This window comes from Homo sapiens, chromosome 7 (genome assembly GCF_000001405.40).
Source record: "Homo sapiens chromosome 7, GRCh38.p14 Primary Assembly".
Lineage (NCBI taxonomy): Eukaryota > Metazoa > Chordata > Mammalia > Primates > Hominidae > Homo > Homo sapiens.
The window spans coordinates 95,146,557-95,171,854 of NC_000007.14; the positions used below are offsets into that span (position 1 = coordinate 95,146,557).

At 35.7% G+C, this 25,298-nt stretch overlaps 1 protein-coding gene and 1 long non-coding RNA gene across 48 annotated transcripts in view; one reads left to right on the top strand and one right to left on the bottom strand.

Annotated features, from left to right (window-relative positions):
- The window catches only part of PPP1R9A (protein phosphatase 1 regulatory subunit 9A), a 389,180-nt gene that overhangs the window by 239,321 nt on the left and 124,561 nt on the right, over nucleotides 1–25,298 (top strand). For all 44 annotated transcript variants that reach the window (XM_047420574.1, XM_047420585.1, XM_047420580.1 and 41 more), the window contains one exon: nucleotides 15,311–15,415. In XM_047420574.1, coding sequence (XP_047276530.1) covers nucleotides 15,311–15,415 — 105 coding nt within the window. The remainder of the gene's footprint in view (nucleotides 1–15,310; nucleotides 15,416–25,298) is intronic.
- Nucleotides 1–25,298, bottom strand: part of PPP1R9A-AS1 (PPP1R9A antisense RNA 1) — a 178,641-nt gene that overhangs the window by 110,865 nt on the left and 42,478 nt on the right. For 2 of the 4 annotated variants that reach the window (NR_183325.1, NR_183326.1), the window contains one exon: nucleotides 8,157–10,395. The exons of the other annotated variants lie outside the window; for them this stretch is intronic. This is a non-coding gene — a long non-coding RNA (PPP1R9A antisense RNA 1). Of the gene's footprint in view, nucleotides 1–8,156; nucleotides 10,396–25,298 lie in introns of those variants that run through there. 4 annotated transcript variants of the gene reach the window in all.

The following is a 25,298-nucleotide window of genomic DNA, read 5'->3' on the forward strand; positions in this document are numbered from 1 at the left end:
ATGAAGTCTTTGCTCATGCCTATGTCCTGAATCATATTGCCTAGGTTTTCTTCTAGTGTTTTTATGGTTTTAGGTCTTACATTTAAATCTTTAATCCATCTTGAGTTAATTTTTGTATAAGGTGTAAGGAAGAGGTCCAGTTTCAGTTTTCTGCATATAGCTAGCTAGTTTTCTCAACACCATTTATTAAATAGGAAATCCTTTCCCCATTGGTTGTTTTTGTGAGGTTTGTCAAAGATCAGATGGTTGTAGATGTGTGGTGTTGTTTCTGAGGCCTCTGTTGTGTTCCATTGGCTTATATATCTGTTTTGGTACCAGTATCTTGCTGTTTTGGTTACTGCAGCCTTGTAGTATAATTTGAAGTCAGGTAACATGATGCCTTCAGCTTTGTTGTTTTTGCTTAGGATTATCTTGGCTATATGGGCTCTTTTGTGGTTTCATATGAAATTTAAAGTAGATTTTCAAATTCTATGAAGAAAGTCAATGGTAGCTTGATGGGAATACATTGAATCTGTAAATTACTTTGGACAGTATGGCCATTTTCATGATATTGATTCTTCCTATCCATGAACACGGAATGTTTTTCCATTTGTTTGTGTCCTCTCTTATTTCCTTGAGCAGTCATTTGTTTTTCTCCTTGAAGAGGTCCTCCACATCGCTTGTAAGTTGTATTCCTAGATATTTTATTCTCCTTGTAGCAATTGTGAATGGGAGTTCAATCATGATTTGGCTCTCTGTTTGTCTATTATTGGTGTATAGGAATGCTTGTGATTTTTGCACATTGATTTTGTATCCTGAGACTTTGCTGAAGTTGCTTACCAGCTTAAGGAGTTTTTGGACTGAGATGATGGGGTTTTCTAAATATACAATCATGTCATCTGCAAACAGAGACAATTTGACTTCCTCTCTTCCTATTTGAATAGTCTTTATTTCTTTCTCTTGCCTGATTGCCCTGGCTAGAACTTCCAATACTGTGTTGAATAGGAGTGGGGAGAGAGGGCTTCCTTGTCTTGTGTCGGTTTTTAAAGGGAATGCTTGCAGCTTTTGCCCATTCGATATGATATTGGCTATGGGTTTGTCATAAATAGTTCTTATTATTTTGAGAGATGTGCCATCAGTACCTAGTTTATTGAGTGTTTTTATCATGAAGAGGTGTTGAATTTTATCGAAGGCCTTTTCCACATCTATTGAGATAATCATGTGGTTTTTGTCATTCGTTCTACTTATGTGATGGATTATGTTTATTGATTTGCATATGTTGAACCAGCCTTGCATCCCAGGGATGAAGCCAACTTGATCATGATGGATAACTTTTTTGATGTGCTGCTGGATTTGGTTTGCCAGTATTTTATTGAGGATTTTTGCATTGATGTTCATCAGGGATATTGGCCTGAAATTTTCTTTTTTTGTTGTGAAGAGTCATTTTTTAGAAAATATTTTGACCTCATTGAAAATGAAAATAGATCATGTTAAAAATTTTGGGATGCTGTAAAAGCAGCGCTTTGAGGGAAATTCATATTATTGAATGCATATATATTAGAAAAGAAGAAAGATCTAAAATCAGCTATCTAAGCATCTTCATTAGGAAACTATAAAAAGGAGAGGAAATTAAATCCAAAGTAAGGAGAACAAAAGAAATAATAAAAATTAGGGCAGAATTCAGTGAAATTGAAAACAGGAAATCAGTAGAGAAAGTCAGTAACACCAAAAGCTGGTTCTTAGCAAAGATCGATATTTTTGATAAGCCTCTAACCAGGCTAAGAAAAAAAGAGAGATGACACAAATTAGTAATATTAAAAATGAGAGAGAAAAATTCACTGTGGATGGCATGGGCACTAAAAGGACAATAAAAGAATATTATGAGCCCCTCTGTGCCCACAAGTTTGACAACCAAGATGAAATAGACCAATTTTTTCCAAGGTGTAAATCTGTCAAAACTTTACAAGAATCGGCAATCTGAATAGGCCTATATCTAGTAGAGAAATTGAATCAATATTTAACAACCAGCTGGGCACAGCAGCTCATGCCTGTAAACTCAGCACTTTGGGAGGCCAAGATGGGCAGATCACTTGAAGCCAGGAGTTTATTGCCAGCCTGGCCAATATGGTAAAACCCCAATTCTCTAAAAATACAAAAAAAAAAAAAAAAAATTAACAACCTTCAAAAAGAGAGAACAACACAGGGCCAGGTGGATTTACTGGTGAATTCTGCCCAACACTTAAGGAAGAAAGTGTACCAATCCTCTCCTATCTCTTCCAGAATATAAAAGCAAAGATAATAAATACTTCGTGTTCCATTCTATGAGGCCACCAGAACTCTAACACCAAAATCAGACAAAAATGTTACAAGAAAAGTAAACTATAGATTAATATCTCTCATGAACATAAATGCAAAAACAAATATATATCAATATGTATATTGATATATACAAATATATATCAGTAAAATATTAACAAATCGAGTCCAACAACATATAAAAGGAATTATATACAGAGACCAGGTGGGATTTATCCCAGGTATAGAAGGCTGGTTCAACATTCAAAAGTCAATGAATATAGTCCATCACATCTGCAGGCTAAAGAAGAAAAATAACATGATTATATCAGTAGATGCAGAAAAAAGCATTTGACAAAAATCATCCATTTATGAGAAAAACTCTAAGTATACTAGGAGTAGAGCAGAATTTTCTCAACTTGAAAAAAAATACCTACAAAACACCTAGAGCTAACATTATATTTAATAGTGAGAAACTAAAAAACTTTCCTGCTAAGATTAGGAACTAGACAATGATATCCTTTCTTACAGTTATTTTCTAGCTAATGCAGTAGGATAAGAAAAATAAATGAACAATACACAGATTTGGAAGGAAGAAGTAAAAGTCTTTGATCACAATGACATCCTTGTCTATGTATAACTGTTCAAAAATAGAGTAAAAAACCTCTGAAAATTGATAAGCAATTATAGCAAGGTTTCAGAATACAAGCTTATTATACAAAAGTCATTCATTTTCCTATATAACAGCAATGAGCAAGTAGAATTGGAAATTAAAAACATATTAAAATTCATTTCTGTTAACACCCCTAAAAATGAAATACTTAGGTATAAACCTAATAAAATCTGAAGTCTGTATGAGGAAAACTACAAAACTGTGATCAAAGTTTTGAAATAATTAATAAATGGTAAGATATTCTACATTCATGGATAAGAAGATGTCAGTTCTTCCCTACTTAATCTAAAGATTCAATGAAATTTCAATCCAAATTTCAGCAAGTTAATTTGTGTATATCAACAAATTGATTCTAAAGTTTATATGGAAAGACAAAAGACACAAAATGGCCAACTTAATATTTAAGGGAAATAACAAAGTTGGAGGAGTGACATTAGTTGACTTCAAGACTTACTATAAAGCTTCAGTAATCAAGACTGTGTGGTACTGGCAAAAGAATAGACAAAGAGATCAGTGGAACAGAACAGAAAGCCCAGAAATAGACCCACATAAATATACTCAACTGAACCTTGCAAAGGAGCAAAAGCAATACATTAGAGAAAATACAGTCTTTTCAACAATAGTACTGGAATAACTGGACATCCCCCTGCCAAAAAAAAAAAAAAAAATCTGAAGAAGTACCTTACACCCTTCACAAGAATTAACTCAAAATGAATTGCAGACCTAAATGTAAAATGCAAAAGCAAAACTCCTAAATGACAACACAGAATATCTAGGTAAGCTTAGGTATGGCAATGACTTTTTATTTTTTATTTTTGAGACGGAGTCTTGCTCTGTCGCCCAGGCTGGAGTGCCGTGGCACAATCTCGGCTCACTGCAACCTGTGCCTCCCAAGTTCAAGCAATTCTCCTGCCTCAGCCTCCTGAGTAGCTGGGATTATAGGAGTGTGCCACCGTGCCTGGCTAATTTTTTTGTATTTTCAGTAGAGACGGAGTTTCACCGTATTGGCCATGCTGATCTCGAACTCCTGACCTTGTTATCTGCCCGTCTGAGCCCCCAAAGTGCTGGGATTACAGGCATGAGCCACCGCGTCCGGCTGGCAATGATTTTTTAGAAACAACACCAAAGGCATAATCTATGAAAGAAATAATTGATAAGCTGCACTTCTTTTAAATCAAAAACTTGTGTTTTGTGATAAGTAGTGTTAACGGAATGAGAAGAGAAGCTATAGACTAGGACAAATATTTAAAACAGATAAAACTAATAAAGGACTGTTATTTAAAGTATACGAAAAGCTCTTAAAACCTAAATAATAAGAAAACTATAACTTGATTTTAAAATGCTCAAAAGACCTGATCATACGTTTCACCAAAGAAGATATACAGAAAACAAGTAAGCATATGAGAAGTTGTTTAATATCATGTTATGAGAGAATTGCTATTTAAAACAATAATGAGATACCACTATATACCTGTTACAATAGCTAAAATTCAAAACACTGACAACAAATGCTGACAAGGATGTAGAGCAATAAGGTGTCTCATTCATTGCTAGTGGGAATGCAAAATGGTACAGCCACTCTGGGGGACAGACTGACAGTTCTTTAATGAAAATAAACACACTCTCATGATCTGACCCAGCTGAAAACTTTTGTCCACACAAAAACTTACACATAGATGTTTATAGCAGTTTTATTTATAACTACTCCAGTTTGGAAGCCACCAGGATGTCCTACACTGGGTGAATGTAAAAAGTGTGGTAGATCCAGACATTGGAATATTATTCAGTGCTAAAAAGAAATGAGCTGTCAAGCCATGGAAGACATGGAAGAATGCATATCAGTAAATGAAGGAAGCTAATGTGAAAAGCCTACATACTTTATAATTCCTATTATCTGACTTTCTTGCAAATGCAAAACTATGGAGACAGTAAAAAGATCATTGTTTGCCGGGGATTTGGTGGGAGGGAGGGATGACTAAGTGGAGCACAGAGGATTTTTTTAGGGCAATGAAACCATTCTGTATGATACTATAATGGTGGATACATGTCATCCATCATACATTTGTCAAAACCCGTAGAATGTGCAATACCAAGAGTGAATGCTTATGTCAGCTGTGGGCTTTGAACAATAATGATGTGTCTTTAAAGGTTTTTTTTTTTTTCTGTAATATGTGAACCACTATCATGTAAGATGTTGATGGGTTGATGGGGGGAGACTGTGCATGTGTGCAGACAGGATCTATAGAGAAGCTCTCCAAATTTCCCACTTAATTTTGTTCTGAACATAAAAAAACTCTACAAAAGGAAAGTTTATTAATTTCCAAAACAGGTAGGAGAAGGGTAATGTTACTGTAGGAAGCTTTGCTTATTTATAAGTTTGTTTTTATTTTTTACATTAATAAAGGAAGTGATAATGTCAGCACATAGTACTGAGAATCTTTTTTTTTTTTTTTTTTTTTTTTTTTTTGAGACTGTGTCTCACTCTGTCACCAGGCTAGAATGCAGTAGCACAATCTTGGCTCACTGCAACCTCCACCTCCCAGGTTCAAGCAATTCTCCTGCCTCACCTTCCTGAGTAGCTGGGACTACAGGTGCGTGCCACCACGTGGGGCTAATTTTTGTATTTTTAGTAGAGACGGGGTTTCACCATGTTGGCCAGGATGGTCTCCATCTCTTGACCTCGTGATCCACCCGCCTTGGCTTTCCACAGTGCTGGGATTACAGAAGTGAGCCACTGCGCCTGGCCTGAAAATCATTCTGATGAGAAGCATAATCTCTTAAAATCCCTTAATAAGAGAATGCTAAATAATTCCAGGTAAATTGTTATTTTGATATGTAATCTATTCTATGTTTACATTAAGTTAATATTTTACAGTAAAGATCCATGCATTCTTCTTTCTAATTTATATTATAAGGCTTTCAAAGTTGAGTGAATTGTGTCAAATTTTTAACCCATTTACAGCTTCCGTTTTGTCCCATATGTTATAAATCAAGGCAAATAAAAATTCTTATTTAAACCTTCCTCTCCTCACTATGTACGCTCAAGTTTTTGTCCTCATTTTGTTTCTTTTTAATTCTGGAGCAACCTTTCACTTTATCTGAGAACTAAAATTCTGTCCCTTTTCTTGAAAAATAAACATTTATCCTATTACATCACCTACATAGTTACACTTTTTCTTAAAACTGTCCCTGCTAAAATAGACTCAGTTACCCATATTACCATTGTTAATTAACTTGTATTTAACCTTCTCTGGTGGATAGGAACTTGATAATAATGCCTATCATGCACAAGCAATTTAGGTGACTAGGAAATATCATTCTCTACAGCCACACCCTTTTTTTTTTTTTTTTTTTTCTTTGAGGCAGAGACAGTCTCACTCTGTCCTCCAGGCTGGAGTGCAGTGGCACTATCTCAGCTCACTGCAACCTTCACCTCCTGGGTTCAAACCGATTCTCCTGCCTCAGCCTCCCAAGTAGCTGAGACTACAGGCACCTGCCACCATATCCGGCTAATTTTTTTATTTTTAATAGAGGTAGAGTTTCACCATATTGGCCAGGCTGGTCTCGAACTCCTGACCTCAAATGATTCACTCACCTCAGCCTCCCAAAATGCTGGGATTACACGCATGAGCCACTGCGCGCCCAGCCTCACATACATTATATTTATGTCTTCAAGTGACAAGAATGAGCACATTCATTAACATGATATAAAATCATGGTAACATCGTAACATTTTAAGGTAAGAAGTAGAGTTGTATATTGTAAGCGCTATGCTTGCTATTCAAGATCTTGAAGTTAAGTACACAAGAATCTTAGAAATCACATTTCAGAGGACACTAAAAAATGTAATTATTGATATAAAACATTGTTAGAATCATGATTCAGTTCAGTCAAACAGTTTTACTTTTTTATCATTTTAAGCTTTAGGTATGGATATCATTAGCTTATCTGATCAATACACTATTATCAGAATTTTAAGAAGTTCAGGTTAACTAGTATTTTCTGAAAACAGAAACTCAACATCCCTACAAAATTATGGAGAAAACACAGCTATGTATTTCAGACAAAATTTTTAAATCAGTCTGATTTGTCCAAAGAATCAGTTTTTAGCTTTAAATTTTTAAACAGTTTTTAATTGATACCTTATATTGGTACATATTTATGTGGTACATGTGATATTTTCTTACATGCATCGAATGAGGAGAATTGTTGTTAGTTCTTGCTTGAAAGTTTGGTAGAATTTGGCATTGAAGCCATCCAGTCCTGGACATTTCTTTGTTGGGAGACTTTATTACTGAGTCAATCTCATTACTTATTATTGATCTGTTCCAGTTTTTTATTTCTTCCTGATTCACTCTCAGTAGGCTATATATGTGTATCTAGAAATTTATCCATTTCCTCCAACTTTCCAGTTCATTAAGATTTAGTTGCTTATAATAGTCTTTGATGAACTTTTGTATTTCTGTAGTATTAGTTGTAATGTCTGTTTTCTGTTTCTGTTTCTGATTTTGTTTATTTTGATCTTATCCTTTTCTTGGTTGCTTTTTTAGTGTCCATTTTGTTTAATTCTAGTTTTTATTATATGTTTCCTTCTACTCATTTTTAGTTGTGGTTTTTTTCTTTGTATTTTTTTTTATGTAGAGTTTATGGGTATCAACTTTCCTCTTAGCACTGCATTTGCTATCTACCATAGGTTTTGGTAAGTTGTGTTTCCATTTTCATTTGTTTCAATAAATTTTTATATTTGCTGCTTAATTTCATCATTGATCCAGTGTTTGTTCAGGAGCATAGTTTTAAATTTTCTTGTATTTGTACATTTTTTAAAAAGTTTCTCTTGTTACTGGTTTTTAGTTATATTCCATTGTGGTCTGAGAAGATAGTTGATGTGATTTCATTTTTTAAAAATTTGTTGAGGCTTGTCTTGTGGCTTAACACATAGTCTACAAAGATTCACTTTTATTGCATGAATTTAGATTCGTAAATTAAAATCTTTCTAAGCTGCTAGCAGATCCTTTAAGAAGAATTTTTTCCCTAAATTACTAGTACATTTGAAGTTTTCTTTAGATATTACTATAGATTCATGAACTTCTTATACTATGTAAACCAATTATATCTTAGCTCCTTAAAATTCAGAGACTTCTAAATTTTATTTATTAATACTCTTCTTAGGAAAATACTTCATACAGAATGAGAGAGAATGACTTCTGAGTTATAGCAACACAGAGAAAATTGTAGCTTTAATTATAACAATCTCTGCAACAGATTAAGTAATCAAGGAAACACCAAAATACACTGTTCAAGATTTCAAAGGATTATTTTCCCTTCTAGTAGTTATAAAATGTTTTATGAAATTATTTGGATACACAAATAGAGAAACAAAGAATTTAAAAAATGCAACTCTCATTCCTTGTCATGTCTCATATGAAGGACAAGAAATCCCTTTAATCTTAACAGAGGTCTTTAAAGTTCAGATTATAAAATTACATTCCCAATTATTAATGCATGCATGGGGATTATCATTATCATCATTATCATCTTCTAGTGGAAACTATATCCAGAACCAAAATGGTGAAGAACTAGAAAAGAAAATGAAAAATTCAAAATTTAAAGAAAAAAGCCAACTTGTAGTAGACTAGCATCACAGCAAAGGTACAGTTCTATTGCCTTTTTTTTCTTTTTTTCTTTTTTTTTTTTTTTTTTTGAGACAGAGTCTTGCTCTTTCCCCCATGTAGGAGTATAGTGGCAGGATCATGGCTTACTTCAGTCTTGACCTCCCAGTTTCAAGAAATCCCTCCACTTCAGCCTCCCAAGTAGCTGGACAAAAAACACAGCACATGCCGGCACACCTGGCTAATTTCTGTATTTTTTGTAGAGATGAGGTCTCGCTATGTTGCCTATGCTGATCTTGAACTCCTGGGCTCAAACAATTCTCCCACCTTGGCCTCCCAAAGTGCTCGATTGTAGGCATGAGCCACTGCACCAGGACTCTATTGCTATTTGAGAATCACTTTGAGGAGAAAGAAAAGTCTCTCCTCCTAAACAGCTCCTGAAGTACATTTCTGTGCTATCACAGTTTGGTTGGCTTTATGAACCCACTTTAGTGTCTCAGTGGATCCTCCAAAAGTATAACATGTTAAAATTCAAAGAATTTAAATGGTGACTTTTGTAAATATAAAAAGAAAATATATCAAATATTTTATTCCACTTCCTAATTAAGTAGAGGACTAGTGAGATTATAAATACAGTTCAAAGTGCATTTTAGGAACTAGTTTCTTAAAGACAAGTTAATGAATTTTATCTTAGAATAATATAGCTAAGTTACATACAATCTATTTAATATTTTACATGACAATAAAGCATTATTTTGGGGATTATCTTTTTTAATAGTTGAAAATATTAGAATTTTCCAGGTTAAAAATCTACAAATTAATAAAGAACTTCACTATGCCTAGTGTCACAAGATTCTTGGGATATTGTTTTTCTGGCTGGTGATGTCTTTGCCCAAGTCTTGCTTAGGCCCGCTGGGTTTGTTCTGCCTACCTGGCCTGGCAGGCTTTACTTGGCTGACACTACTGGCCTGGATCCCATACCTGCCAAGGGTAAGTCAGGCATGGAGTGGCAAGGGGTGTGTGAGGGAGCATGGGGTTCAGCCAGTGTGCAATCGGACATGCCGGCTGCTGCAATGGGGCGGGCAGTTACAGGTGCTGGCACAGGCACTGACTCTCTGTGAGGCTGTGGCCAGACCAGGTGCACTGCAGGAAGCTTCCCCAGCTGGCACCGGGAAATGCAGTGGCACCTGGAAGCTTGGAGATACTAGGCACCACAGGACCCCAAAGAGGGAGTCACAGCCCTGGCTCAGGGAGCTCCCAGGTCTGGGCTGCCTGAGAAGGCACAGATCTTATCTCCTTCTCTTTGCCCTCAATGTGGCAAGCAGGGGGCATGTTTCAGTCCTGTGTTATAGCTCTTTTAGCTCTGCCATTTGGTAGGTCCCGAGTTCTTGTCCTGCAACTAGGAAGCATGAGGTACAGAGCCAAGTGGAGGATGAGCGAGATGAAGGGGAGCTTTATTGATCAATAGAACAGCACACAGGAGACCTGCAGAGGGTAGCTCCTTTCCACAGCCAGGATGTTCCAATGAGAGTTCAGCTCCTAGCAGAAAGGAGACCCTGGAGAGGGAAGCTCCTCCTAGCAGGCAGGTCATCTCATTGTCTTCTTAGCTCTCAGCAGAGAGGTGGCCCTGGAGTGGATTGTTCCACTCTGCAGCTGGTAGTCTCGATGTCTCTGCAGGTTTCTGAAGCTCTCAGCAGAGAAGAGGCCCTAGAATGGATAGCTTCTCTCTTCTGCTGGTTGTTGGGACATCTTCTGCTGTCAGCAGAAAGGGTAGCTCTTCTCTGCAGCTGGTCATCCATCATCTGCTCTGCTCTGGCTGAGCCTGGGGCTTTTATAGGCCTATTAGAGGGGAAGTGCATGCTGATCAGTCCATGGGCAGCCATGGGCAGATCCAGGAAAAACCACCACGAGTTTGCCCTCCAAATCAGCACTGCCAGTCCTGTCCCCAGGCTTCAGGCCTTCTCTCAGGGATCTGCCCTCTTCTGCCCAAGTATCTGTCTGCCTCCCCCTGCTGTTCATGGCACATGGGCTTGACCCCGATTTGCTCCAAGATGGGAGCAGGTGCCCACAGCAGGGAGAAGCCAAGCAGCGGGAGCAGGCACTTCTGAGCCTGCAGGGGCAGGGGGGCCTTCTCAGCTCCCCCTCTCCCCCCCCAGAGTGCAGGGATACCTGGGTCTGCAGCCGCAATATGGGCTGCTCCCTTGACCCTAGGGAAGTGGAGCTCCTGGTCCCCCAAAAGTAAAGGGAAGCTCCATTCTGCAGCCACAGCTCGGGCACCTGCAGCCCTTCCCAGGAGGGTTAGGCTCCTGCCTCCTCCAAGGAGGCAGAGGCCCAGGTCTGCAGCTGCAATTTGGGCAGCTGCAGCTGCACCCGGGGAGTTCCCACCCCACCTCAGAAGGAGAAGGGCTTACGCTTGTCCCCTGCTGCCTGGAGCTCCATGGAGCATGTATCCTCGGCAGCACCTCCCTGCTGCAGTCGGCGTGATGGCAGCGGCAGGCCGTCTGGAGTGGCTGCTGCTATAACTAGGATCTTTAATCAGTAGTAAACAGTGAATCAAATAAGTAAATTTCCCTTAATTATCCTTATGTGGATCTGTTAATGCATTCATATGACATTGAAAGAATATGTTGCCCTACTTTTGACCTTATTTCCAAGCTTTGAATAACTTTTCTTAACATTTGGGATCAAAATGTGATTTATGCCACTCTTACCCAGGGGTGCTTATGGTAACACTCAAATTTTCTTTGAAGGGAAAAGTCAATACGATAAAGTTGTCAGTTCTCCCCAAGGGAATCTTTAAAATCAATATGATTTCATTAAAACTCCAACAAATATTTTCATATTACTTGGTAAATAAACCCAAAACTAATTAGGAAGAGCAAAGGATCAAGAATGACTCAGACAAATTTGAAGAAAATGAACCATTTTAGGAGAATTGCCCTATGAAATGCAAAAACTAGTTATAAAGCTTTATTAGCTAAGACAATGTAGCATTGATGCAAGGATAAACAAAGAGATAAATAGAACCTATAGGGAACCTACAAACATGATGATGCACATTTGAAAACTTGACATATATTGCACTACTTAACTCTGGGGGGGAAATGGACTCTATTAAATGTTGTTTGGCCAGTTGTTTATACATTTGAAAAAAAATAAAATTAGATTGCCAACACATATTATAATTTTAGAAAATTTCCAGGTGGATAACTGCCTAAATACAGAAAATCAGAATGTTAATGCATTTTGAAGAAAACATAGGCCCAAGGCAGTGGCTCACAGCTGTGATCCTAGCACTTTGGGATGCCAAGGCAGGAGGATCACTTGAGACGAGGAGTTTGAGAGCAGCCTAGGCAACATAGTGAGACCCCATCCCCCACCTCCCCAAAAAAGGAAGAAAATATAGAATCTTTTTATAAACTTTGGGCAGAAAAGTACTTCTTAAACAAAACACAAAAAAATACCTACTTACAAATGTGGATATACTTTAGAAAATTATTTTCCTCTAAACCACCATGTTTCAAAGATATATAAAAAGACAAGCTACAGATAGGGTGAAAGTATTTGCAATATGTTTAAGGAAATATTAATATCCAAGATATATAAAGATATCTCATTTAAGTTAATAAGAAAAGTCACTCAACCCAACAACAACAGTGTAACAAATGGGTAAAAGAAATGATTTGACAATTTGTGGAAGTAGACAGGTGACTTACAAACATATGAAAAAATGTTTACCCGCACTAGTAATCAGTGAAATGCAATTGAAATCACATTGTAATATCTTTTTACAGCTGTATGATTGGCAGTACTTAAAGGATCTGAGCATACCAAGTATTCCTGAGGGCATGGAGATTTGTTAATGTCTAATAAAATTGAAAATGCTTATAATCTTTTCTTTGACTCAGGAATTTTATTTCTGGGTATATATCCTGGAGAAAACTCATTCATGTGCATAAGGAGGCATGTATGAAGTTGACTATTACAGCAATATTTTATTATACCTAAATTGGAAAACAACACAATTGTCCAGCTGCAAAATAATGAATAAATACATTTTGGCATATTGATAAAAGATGATACTATATAGTTGTTAAAATAAATTAGGTAGAATTACAGTTATAATAGTCATGGTTAAATCTCAAATGTAATGCTGAATGAAGCAAACTAAGTTGCAAAAAGAGAGGTATACATCATAATTTTTGAAAATAAACGATTGTATGTAAATTATGCCTATTCATGCATATATATAGATCCTGTTTCAAAAAATCCGTAGAAAGGTCAAACACTTTATTCTTTTATTATTATTATTAGTATTATACTTCAAGTTCTGGGGTACATGTGCAGAACGTACAGGTTTGTTACATAGGTATACATGTGCCACGGTTGTTTGCTATACCTGTCAACCCATCATTTAATTAGTGTGGTGATTACCTCTGTATAAGCAATGAAGAGAATAAAACTAGAGACAAATAATAAATGGGCTTCAACTTTTCTGTAATGTGCTTCTTTAGAAAAAATATGACTCGGGCCGACCGTGGTGGCTCACACCTGTAATCCCAGCATTTTGGGAGGCCGAGGCGGGAAGATCACAAGGTCAGGAGTTCAAGACCAGCCTGACCAACATGATGAAACCCCATCTCTACTAAAAATACAAAAAAACATTAGCCGGGCTTGGTGGTGCATGCCTGTAATCCCAGCTATTCAGGAGGCTGAGGCAGGAGAATCTCTTGAACCCGGGAGGCGGAGGTTGTAGTGAGCCAAGATCACACCACTGCACTCCAGCCTGGGTGACAGAGGGAGACATTGTCTCAAAAAAAAAAAAAAAAAGAAAGAAAGAAAGAAAAAATGTGACTCAAATATAGCACAATGCTAGGATTTTATAAAGGTGAGTATTGGGTACATGAAAGTTTATTATCTGTTTGACTACATTTCTCATGTTTGAAGTATTTCATTATGAAGAATAAAAATGATATATATAAAATATATATAGAAATGTAAAAGTATTATACAATAAACAGTATCAATACATACAATGCTCATAAACATAAGTATGAACACACACAAAAACACTTGTATGTATATGTAAGTATACAGATGCACATGAATGAGCATTACATATTTGAAGTATACACCTTGAATGGGAAGGATTCCCTGTAATTCCTGGTTAAGTTTTTCCTTAGGGAAGATAGGTGTGTTGTGAGACTAGGTATTAGGCCCAAAGCATATTTCATCTGGATCTCTTATGTTTTATGTACAGTTATTAAGGACAAAAATGATATAAATATGTAAATATATCATTTGCAGTTATCAATTTTTGTGATAGGAATATGTATGTTTGGTAAACTGAATGTCTCCATTTAGTATTACTTGTTTCTATCCTTTAAAACAGTCTTTATTTTTATTTTTTTTTTCAACTTGTATTTTTGATTCAGGGGGTACATGTGCAGATTTGTTACCTGGGTATATTGTGTGAGGCTGAGGTTTGGGATATGAATGATCCTGTCGCCTAGGTACCAGGCATAGTACCCAATATTTAGTTTTTCAGCCCTTGCTTCCCTCTCTTCCTTTCCCCTCTAGTAGTCCCCAGTTTCTATTGTTGCCGCCTTTATGTCCATGAGTTCCCAATGTTTAACTTACACTTATAAGTGAGAATGTGCGGTATTTGATTTTCTGTTCCTGTGTTAGTTTGCTTAGGATAATGGCCTCCAGATGCATCCGTGTTGCTGTAAAGGGCATGATTTCATTCTTTTTTATGGCTACATAGTATTCCACAGTGTATATCTACCACAGTTTCTTTATCTCATCCACCATTTGTGGACATTTAGGTTGATTCCATGTCTTTGCTGTTGTGAACAGTGCTGCAGTGAACATGCATGTATCATTTTGGTAGAAAGGTTTGTTTTCTTTTGAATATATACCCAGTAATGGGATTACTGGATCACATGGTAGTTCTGTTTTAAGTTCTTTGAGAAATCTTTAAACTGCTTTCCACAGTGGCTGAACTAATTTATATTCCTCCCAATAGTGGATAAGCATTCCCTCTTCTCCACATTCTTCCCAGCATCTGTTTGTTTTTTTTTTAACTTTTTAGTAATAGCCATTCTGACTGGTGTGAGATGGTAACTCACTGCGGTTTTGATTTGCATTTCTCTGATGATTAGTGAAGTGGAGCATTGTTTTATGTTTGTTGGTCATTTGTATGTCTTCTTTTGGGAAATGTCTGTTTGTGTCTTTTGCCCAGTTTTTAATGGAAATAGTCTTTTTAAAACATTAAGTGTTTGACTAAGATCTGGGGCTTCTATAGTCATCCCTGGGAATCCACAGGTGATTCTTTGTAAGACCTCAGTGGATACCAAAATCTGCCGATGCTCAAGTCTCTTACAGTATAGTATAGAGATAGTATTTGCATATAACCTGTGCACATCTTTCAAATAGTTTAAATCGTCTCTGGATTACTTCTAATATGTAATACAATGCAAATGCTGTGTAGTTAAGTTTTTTACTTTGTACTTTTTATTGTATTACTTTTTTTATTTTTTCAAAATATTTTATATCCACAATTGGTTGAATCCACAAATGTGGAACCCACTGATAACAGGAAGCAGAACTGACTGTATGTAAAAGATAGATTTTGGATCAAAAAGAGTATCTTAAAAATCACATATTTTGTCAACTGATTTGTTGGAAATGATTATTACATAAATTAATTTTTTATGTAATTTATGTGGGTAATTTTTTCCTCTTTCTAAAGAATACAAGTCAATGACCAGATTGTGGAAGTGGATGGAATCAGCTTGGTGGGTGTGACACAGAATTTTGCAGCAACAGTTCTCAGAAACACCAAGGGCAACGTCAGGTAAATACGTGCCTTCTAATATACACCATGTTGTTACTTTAGTTGAATTTTAATTTTCTATAGTTTAACCTGCAAATAAATGTAATTACAATGACAATTTTACCTGAATAGTAAAACTTTGCTTTTAGTTTTAAATATTTTCACCTTTATTATAATTAGTTCATGAAAATAGAATTTAAAATTACAAATCATAGTATTTTAGAAAGATACAAAAACAAGCACTTGTCTTCATATCTTTCTAAAATACTATGGTTTCCAGGAAGATATAATTTCTAGTTAAAACCTCAATAAATATGAATTAGGTCCCAAATCTTTTTAAGGAAAACAGTTATACAATACTTGAAATGATTATACATATATTCAATTTTCTGTGTTTTTTAGACAATCAGGTTGAATAAAGATAAGTATATTTTTTAAATGTATACATTCTTTTAAGGAATCAGCCATGACCAATGTTTGATGAATTATAACTTTTCCAACTTAATGCACTTAGGGTGCATTTTTTTTGGACCTTGAAATTTATATTCAAACTTGGGATTGTGAATATTGTATATTGGAAAACAAGTAAGAAGCAGTTTAGAGCTAGTTGAAGTCAAGGTTTGAAATCAGGTCTTTTTTTTGCTTATAGGTTACTTATTTATCTTCAGTATTGCTTATATCATATACTTTTCCATACATCTTGTGTAAGAAACATTAAGGAAACATTATTTAGTATGTGTAATGATGAAAATGGTTGGGTGTTCTCATTATCAAAATGAAACTGCTAAATATTCTGAAAATATTAATGAGTTAACATTGCTATACAGGCAGTAACATTAGGATATTATTGCAGTATGTCTAATTTTGCTGAAGCATGATTTAAGTTTTAGACTTTAGGCTTTTTCAACTGTAAATCATCTTCTAATGCTAAAGGGATGCCTTAAGGAATATTACCTAAACTACTTCTGTGGGCGCTATGTTGATGTTTCTAGAATATCCACAGTCCTGAGAAAAGAATGTAAAATAATTGCAAAACTGTGTGGTGCTCTCTGAGTTGTGTGGGTGGGCCCATTCAGTAAATGTGATTGTCTTTTTGAAGATCACTATGTGTTCTTAAGACAGCACTTTCCCATGTCTGTATAGAACTTGGTTTTGAAGCTGTCCATTAGACTTTAAAGTAAATTTTAAAATGAAATAGGTAAGATATACATTCAACTCATAAGAACATTTCTCAGTTGGAAAAGAATTTGTAGTTACATGAAACCATAGCCATCCCTTTTTTCCCCTCTGTTGACTGCGTAATCTTGTGTTATTATTTTCAGCCTTGTACAAATTTCAAAAGTCTTCAAATGTCTTCTTAACTGGTCTGTCTGTTTTCACATTCTCACTTCCTCAGTCTGCTCTGTTCATCATTACTCTCATGGAAGGACATAATTACAGTTTTTAAGTAAATGAAGGGCTATCATGGAAAAAGAAATTGACCTTATTCTGCTTAACTCTAGTACAGGTTGAGTATCCCTTATGTTAAATGCTTGCAACCAGAAGTGTTTCCGATTTCAGATTGTTTTGGCATATTAAAATATTTGCATTATATACTTAGTAGTTGAGCCTCCCTAATGTGAAAATTCGAAATCTGAAATGCTCTAATGAATATTTCCTTTGGGTGTCATGTCAGTGCTCAAAAAGTTCTGAGTGTTCTGAACATTTTGGATTTCAGATATTTTGATGTGGGATGCTCAACCTGTATAAACTTCCATGTGCAGGGGTTTTTTTTGTTTTGTTTTGTTTTTTGTAGTTGTTATTTTTTGAGACAGAGTCTTGCTCTGTCACCCAGGCTGGAGTGCAGTGGCGCAGTCTCAACTCATTGCAATCTCTGCCTCCTGGGTTCAAGCAGTTCTCCTGCCTCAGCCTCGCAAGTAGCTGGATTACAGGCATCCACCACCACATCCAGCTAATTTTGTATTTTTAGTAGAGACAGGGTTTTGCCCTGTTGGCCAGGCTGGTCTTGAACTCCTGACCTCAGGTAATCCACCCACCTTAGCCTCCCAAAGTGCTAGGATCACAGGTGTGAGCCACTGCGCCTGGCCCCATGTGCAGGTTTTTGTGTGGACATAAGTTTTCTACTGGGTAAATACCAAGCATGGAGCATAATTGCTATATCATGTGGTAAGTGTATGTTTAGTTTTGCAAGAAACCACCAACCCATCTTCAAACTGGCTATACCATTTTGTATTCCTATCAGCAATGAGTGAGAGTTCCTATTGCTCCACATCCTTGCCAGCATTTGTTGTCAGTGTTTTGGATTTTGACCATTCAAATAGGTGTATAGTGGAATCTGATTGCTTTAATTTCCATTTACCTCCATTGTCCATTAATATTTACAACTGGTAATGAAAAGTTTCATGTTAATATGATTTGTAATCCTTTATAGTATTTTCTTTTTTTACCTCTTTTGGATTTTTTTCTCTTATAATTGGGCTTTTGTAATTTTTATCAGACTGTAACTAGATCTGTGTTTGTTTATTTGGTTTTGTGAAATTCTGCTTGGGATTCAATCTGAAGACTTGGATTTCAGAAAGTTTCTATTATGCTTTGGTTATTTGCTTTATTTCTTCTGCATTGTCTTTGGCCTCTCTTCTCAAACCAGTATTAAATGGGGCTTAGATTTCCTGGGCATATCCTCTAGAATCTTATTTTCTCTCAGGATCTCCATCTGTTTGAATTTTTGCTAGTATAAGAGTTTCTTTAATTTTCTCTTCCAGATTACCATGGTTTTTTTTCTTTTCTTTTCTTTTTTTTTTTTTTTTTTTTCAGGCATGGCCTATTTTAACTGTTCCATGCTTTATTCTCTATTTTCTGTTTTTATTTCTAGCTCCATTCTCTCTTCCTAGAGCTTAAGAATAGTATATCCAGCTTCCTACTTGACATCTTCATATGGCATTCTAAAAGGAACATCAAATTTAATATACTCCAAGTATTATCCTTTATTTGTGCCATTCCCTGTCTTCTGCCCCACTTTCCTGCTTTGCCCCCTTCCCCCAAAAAACTCCATGTCACATGACATACAATTGGCTGCTTCTACCTTATCAAGTCTCAGTTCAAATATCAATTCTTCAATGAATGAGCTTTTCTCATATTTATGTTGTCCAAACTCAAATTCACTCTATCTCAATTACCATGTTTTCTACATAGCATTCATTTACTGATCCTCTTCTGATCCTCTCCACCTGGTTATTGACTTTCTTTTGGGTTTTCTACTGTATTGATTCCTGTCTAGTCTGTATGATAATTTGAATATGAAAGTAATGATCTGTGACTTTTTAGGCTAGGTTATAAAAGGCACTGTGGCTTTCATCCTGCTCTTTTGGATCACCAGTTTTAGGGAAATGTAGCTGCCATATCAGGAGGCTTTCAAATACCCTTTTGAAGATGCCCACACAGGGAAGACGTTGGGCCTACCAGCAGCCAGCACTAACTTAACCAGACATGTGGGGAGGCACCTTTGAAGATCTTCCAGCCTTACTAAAGCATTCAGATACCTGCAGCTTCAGCTAACAACTGGTTGAATTTTGTGAGAATCACCAAGCCACAATTGAACAGACAAGCCTTCCTTGAATTCTTGACTCACAGAAACTATGGAAGATAGTAACTGTTTATAAGTTTTGGGGTAATTTGTATCAGCAGCTACAACTTACACATATTTTGGTACCTGAATGTGGGCTCCAGTTTAACAAAAACTGAAAATGTGGGAGTAGCTTTGGGACTGGACTGTTAGTGAGGCTGGAAGGACTATGAGGAGAGTATTAGTAAAAGCCAAAGAGATCTTACAGTGATTGCTGGGAGAAAACTGATGGTCTGTGAGGAGGAAGCTGGTGAGGGCTTAAAGAAGAAAACTATAAATGTTATTGAAAATTGGGTCAGGCGCAGTGGCTCATGCCTGGAATCCCATCATTTTGGGAAGCTGAGGCAGGTGGATCATCTGAGGTCAGGAATTCGAGACCAGCCTGGCCAACATAGTAAAACCCCGTCTCTACTAAAAATATACAAAATTAGCCAGGTGTGGTGGCACATGCCTGTAATCCCAGCTACTTGGGAGGCTGAGGCAGGAGAATCACTTGAACCTGGGAGGCAGAGGTTGCAGTGAGCCGAGATGCACCATTGCACTCCAGCCTGGGCAACAAGAGTGAAACTCCATTTCAAAAAAAAAAAAAAAAAAGAAAGAAAATTAGAAGAAAGAGTATCTTCATTATGTAATAACAGAACATTTAACAAAACTTACCTCTAGTAATATGGAAAGTAGAATATTGACTGGGACATTTAACTCATAAGATTTCTAGCCATTGTTGAAAGTGTCACTAGCTGCTTTTTGCTGTGTATAAGTAAAATTTATGAGAAGATAGATAAGCTAAAGGAAGAACTGTTAAAAATAAAGCAAGTTAAACAAACTAGAAAACTTAGACAAACTGGATAAATTTCTGGATACATATATGTAGCCTACCAAGATTGAATCAGGAAGAAATAGAAAACTGGAACAGACCAATAATGAGTAACAAGATTGAATCAGTAATAAAAATTCTCCCAACAAAGAAAAGTCCAGGACTGGATGGCTTAAATGCCAAATTCTAGCAAACTTTCAAACAAGAACTAACACCAGTTCTCCTCAAACTATTCCAAAAAATTGAAGCAGAGGAACTTCTCCCTGATTCTTTCTATGAGGCAAGCATTACCCTGATACCAAAAGGAGATAAGGACAGAACCAAAAGGAAAACTGCAGGCCAATATTCCCAATGAACACAGAGGCAAAATTTCTCAGCGAAATACTAGCAAACCAAGTCCAACAGTACATTAAAAAGATAATACACCATGATTAAGTGGGATTTATCCCAGGGATACAAGAATGGCTCAACATATGCAAATCAATAAAATATGCTACATCACATCAACAGAATGAAGGACAAAAACCATATGATCATCTCAGTAGATGCAGAAAAAACATTTGATAAAATTCAGTATCCCTTCATGATGAAAACCCTCAACAAAACACGCATAGAAGGAAAAAACCTGTATTAGTCCATTTTCATGCTGCTGCTGAAGACATACCTGAGACTGGGCATTTTACAAAAGAAAGAGATTTAGTCAACTTACAGTTCCATGTGGCTGGGGGAGGCCTCACAATCATGGTGGAAGGCAAGGAGGAGCAAGTCACATCTTACATCTTACATGGATGACAGCAGGCAAAGAGAGAGTGCTTATGTAGGGAAACTCCCATTTTTAAAACCGTCTTATCTCGTGAGACCCATTCACTATCACAAGAACAGCACAGGAAAGACCTGTCCCCATAATTCAATCACTTCCCACCAGGTTCCTCCCATGACATGTGGGAATTGTGGGCGTAACAATTGAAGATGAGATTTGGGTGGGGACACAGCCAAACCATATCAATACCTCAACATAATAAAGGCCACATATGACAAACTCACAGCTAACATTGTATTGAGTGGGGAAAAGCTGAAAGCCTTTTCTCTAAGAGCTGGAACAAGACAAGAATGCCCACTTTCACCATTCCTATTCAACATAGTACTGGAAGTCCTAGCCAGAGTAATCAGGCAAGAGAAAGAAATAAAAGGCATCTGAATAAGAAAAGAGAATGTCAAACGGTCCCTCTTTTCAGATGATGTGATCTTATAGCTAGAAAAATTTGAAGACTCCACGAGAAAACTCTTAGATCTGATAAAACAAATTCAGTAAAGTTAGTCACAGGTTACAAAATCAGCATACAGAAAATAAGTGCTGTTTCTATACAAAAATAATGAACTAGCTGAGAAAGAACACAAGAAGACAACCAAATTTACAATAGTTAAAAAAAAAATACCTAGGAATAAGTTTAACCAAGGAGATGAAAGACCTTCACAAGGAAAACTACAAACACTGATGAAAAAAATTGAAGAGGACACAAACAAAACAAAGAGCCCATGCTCATGGATTAGGAGAATTAACGTTGTTAAAATGACCACACTCCCCAGAGCAGTCTACTGATTCAGTACAATCCCTGTCTAAATATCAATGTCATTTTTCACAGAAATAGAAAAAAGATCCTAAAATGTGTAAGAAACCAAGTACGGCTCAAATACCAAAGTGATTCTGTGCAAAAAGAACAAAGTTGGAGGCATCACATTACCTGACTTCAAAATGTATCACAAGGCTTTAGTAACCAGAACAGCAAGATATTGGTATAAAAACAGAAACACAGACCAATAAAACAGAATGGAGGACCCAGAAACAAATTCACACCTTTATGGCCAACTGATTTTTGACAAAGACACCAAGAACATACATTGGGGAAAGGGCACCCTCTTCAATAAATCATGCTGGGAAAATTGCTTATCTATTTGCAGGAGAATGAAACTGGACCCTTATCCCTCACTATATATAAAAATCAACTCAATATGGATTAAAGACTGAAATGTAAGCCCCACATCTGCAAAACAACTAGAAGGAAGCATAGAGGAAACACTTCAGGACATTGGTCTAGGCAAATACTTTATGGCTAAGACCTCAGAAGCACAGGCAATGAAAAAAAAAAAGGATAAGTGGGACTATATTAATCTAAAAGACTTCTGCACAGCAAAGGAAACAACAGAGTGAAGAGACAGCCTGTTGAATGGGAGAAAATATTTATAAACTATTTGTTCAACAAGATTCTAATATCTAGAATATTAAAGGAACTCAAAGCAACAGTAAAAAAGCAAAAATAGTCTCATTAAAAAGTCGGCAAAGGATATGAATAGACATTTCTCAAAATAAGACATAGAAATGACTGATATATGTGAAGATGCTCAACATCAGTAATCATCAGAGAAATGCAAAATAAAACTGTACTAAGATATCCGCTTACCCCAATTAGAATGGCTGTTATTAAAGAGACAAAAGGTAACAGACGCTGACAAGGATGTGGAGAAAAAGGAACTCTTACACACCACTGCTGGGGATATAAGTTAATACAGTCATTAGGGAAAACAGTAAGGAGACTTCTCAAAAAACTAAAAATAGAACTACCAAATGATCCAGCAGTCCTGCTACTAAGTGTTTATTTAAAGAAAAGAAATCAGTATATCAAAGAGATGGCAGCATCTCAGTGTTTATTGCAGCACTATTCACAATAGCAGTGATATGGAATCAACCTACCTAAGTGTCCATCAAAGGATGAATGGATTTTTTTAAGTGGTATATATACACGGTGAAATACTATTTTGCCATAAAAAAGGTGAATCATGTCATTTGTAGCAACGTGGATGGGAACTGGAGGTCATTATGTTAACTGAAATAAGCCAGACACAGAGAGACAACTATGACATGTTTTCAGTCCTATATAGGAGCTAAAAATGTTGATCTTATAGAGGTAGAGAGTAGAATGATAGTTACCAGAGGCTGGGAAGAGTGTAGGGGTGTGGGTGGGCGGATGAAGAGAGGTTGCTTAAAATGTACAAAAATACAGTCCCTAGAAGAAATAAGATTTAATGTTCAGTAGCAGAAAGTTAATAACAATGTATGTATATTACAAAATAGCTAGAACAGAGCACTTGAAATGTTCCCAGCACGTAGAAATGATAAATAGTAGAGGTAATGAAGACTCCAGATACCCTGATTTGGTCATTATACAGTATAGCATGTAAGAAAATGTCACTTTTATCCCATAAATATGTACAAATGTTTATATCAATTAAAAAATTTAAAAATTAATAGAACTTACCCTCAAACTAAATGTAGCTCTGATCCCACATTCAAAAGCCTTAAAAGCAAGCCTCAGAAAGATTTGTTTTTTAGTACTTTAATTGTCCCAGAGGAATACTCAAGAATACTTATTGTATTACAAAAAATATCTTTATATCTGGCATGCAGTCAACAATTTCTGGGCATGCAAAGAATGAGGAAAATATGAGCCACAATCAGTGGAAAAATTAATTGAAACAGATCCAGCAATGTTAGAAATAAAAGCAGTAGATGAAAACATTAAAATAGTTGTTATAATTAGATTTCAAAAATACAATAAGGTAGCAAAAGGGCTGAGTATGATAAGTAGATACAGAAAAGATAAAAAGAAGGTTCTACTCCAACTTCTAAAATGAAACATATGTGTTATGAAATGTACATTGGATGGGATAACAGATTCAAATATGCAGAAGAAAAAATTAGTTAATTTTAAGACATACTACAATAGAAAGTATCAAAATTTAAACACAGAAATAAAAGACAGGAAAGGATGAACAGAACTTCAAGAGGCTGTGGCATAATTATAAGCTACTAATATACGCTTTTGGAATCTCAGAAGGTTAGAATGAGAGAGGTGCTAGAAAAGATAACTGAAGAGATAATGGCTGAAAATTTTTCAAATTTGATGAAATTTTTAAGATTTATAATATCACAGATCCAAGACATTCAAGAAATCCCAAATAGAAGGAATATGATGAAAACTACATGAAGAGACATCATAATCAAAATACTTGAAATCAGTAGTAAAGAAGAAAATTATAAAAGCATTCTGAGAAGAAAGGCATATTGTGTACAGTGAACCAAAGATGAGAATACAGTAGACTTTGCAGTAGAAATAATACATCACCAAGGAAAGTGAATAATAATTTAAAAGTTTTGAAAGAAAAATTGGAATTTTATACTCAAGGAAATAGCTTTCAAAATTGAAGATGAAATGAAGACCTTCTATACAGAAGCTAAAAGAATTCATTACCTGGAGAATACTATTATAAGAAATGTCAGGGGAAGTCTTTAATAATGTAAATAATATAAAACGAAATTCTAGACCTACAGAAGGAAATGAAGAGAAATAGAAATTATGTGGGTAAATATAGGCTACTTCATTTTTTAAAAAATTATTTAAAGGATTATTAACTTTTTAAAACAAAGGACATGACTGTGTTGTTTGAGATTTATAATATCGAGAAGTAAAATTTAGAACAATAGCATGTCGGTTTTTATGACAACATGGAAGTATACTTTTGTAAGGTGATTATGCTGTGCATGAAGTAGTAGTATATTACTTGGAGACAGACTGAAATAAATTGAAGAGGTATGCTATAAGACATAAATAAACACTGAAGAAACCCCAGCAAAGAGTTATACCAATAAAGAGTTATACAACAAGGATAAAACATAATTATAAAAGTACTTTATCCAAAAAATGCAAAAAAGAAAAAGAGCACAGGGGAACAAAAAATGAAGAGATGTATAGAAAACTAACAGCACAATGGTAGCTTTAAACCCAAACTTATCAGGAATTTCTTAAATGTAAATGGTCTAATGACCAATTTAAAGGCAGAGATTGTCATATTATATTTTTAGAAAGTAAGTCTCAAATAGGTTAAAAGTAACAGGATAGAAAAAATGTGTCACGCTAGCATTAATCAAAAGAGCACTAGTGTGGTTATATTGATATTAGACAAAATAAATTTTAAAAGTCAGTTTTGAAAACATAAAGTTAGTAAATCTTTAGTCAGACTTGTTTGATATAAAAAGAACAAAGACACAAGTTAGAATGAGAAGGTGTAATTACATATTCCACAGATACTTTAAGGATTAACCAATATTATGAAGAACTTTATGCCAGTGAATACAACAAGTTAGACTAAATGGTTAAATTTTATGGAAGACAGTGCTATGAAAAATTACCAAAGTTCACTCAAGAAAAAATTGTTTATGTGTATACATGAAGATGAGTTTAGATTTAAGATCCTCTTAAAAAGAAAATTGTTTGTTTCACTGGTGAATCTTAGCATTAGATGGAGAAATAATACCAACTCAACATATACTCTTTCAGAACATAGAAGATGGTATACTTCTCAACTACTTTTATGAAGCCAATGTTGCTATGATAGTATAATTTTTAAAAGGC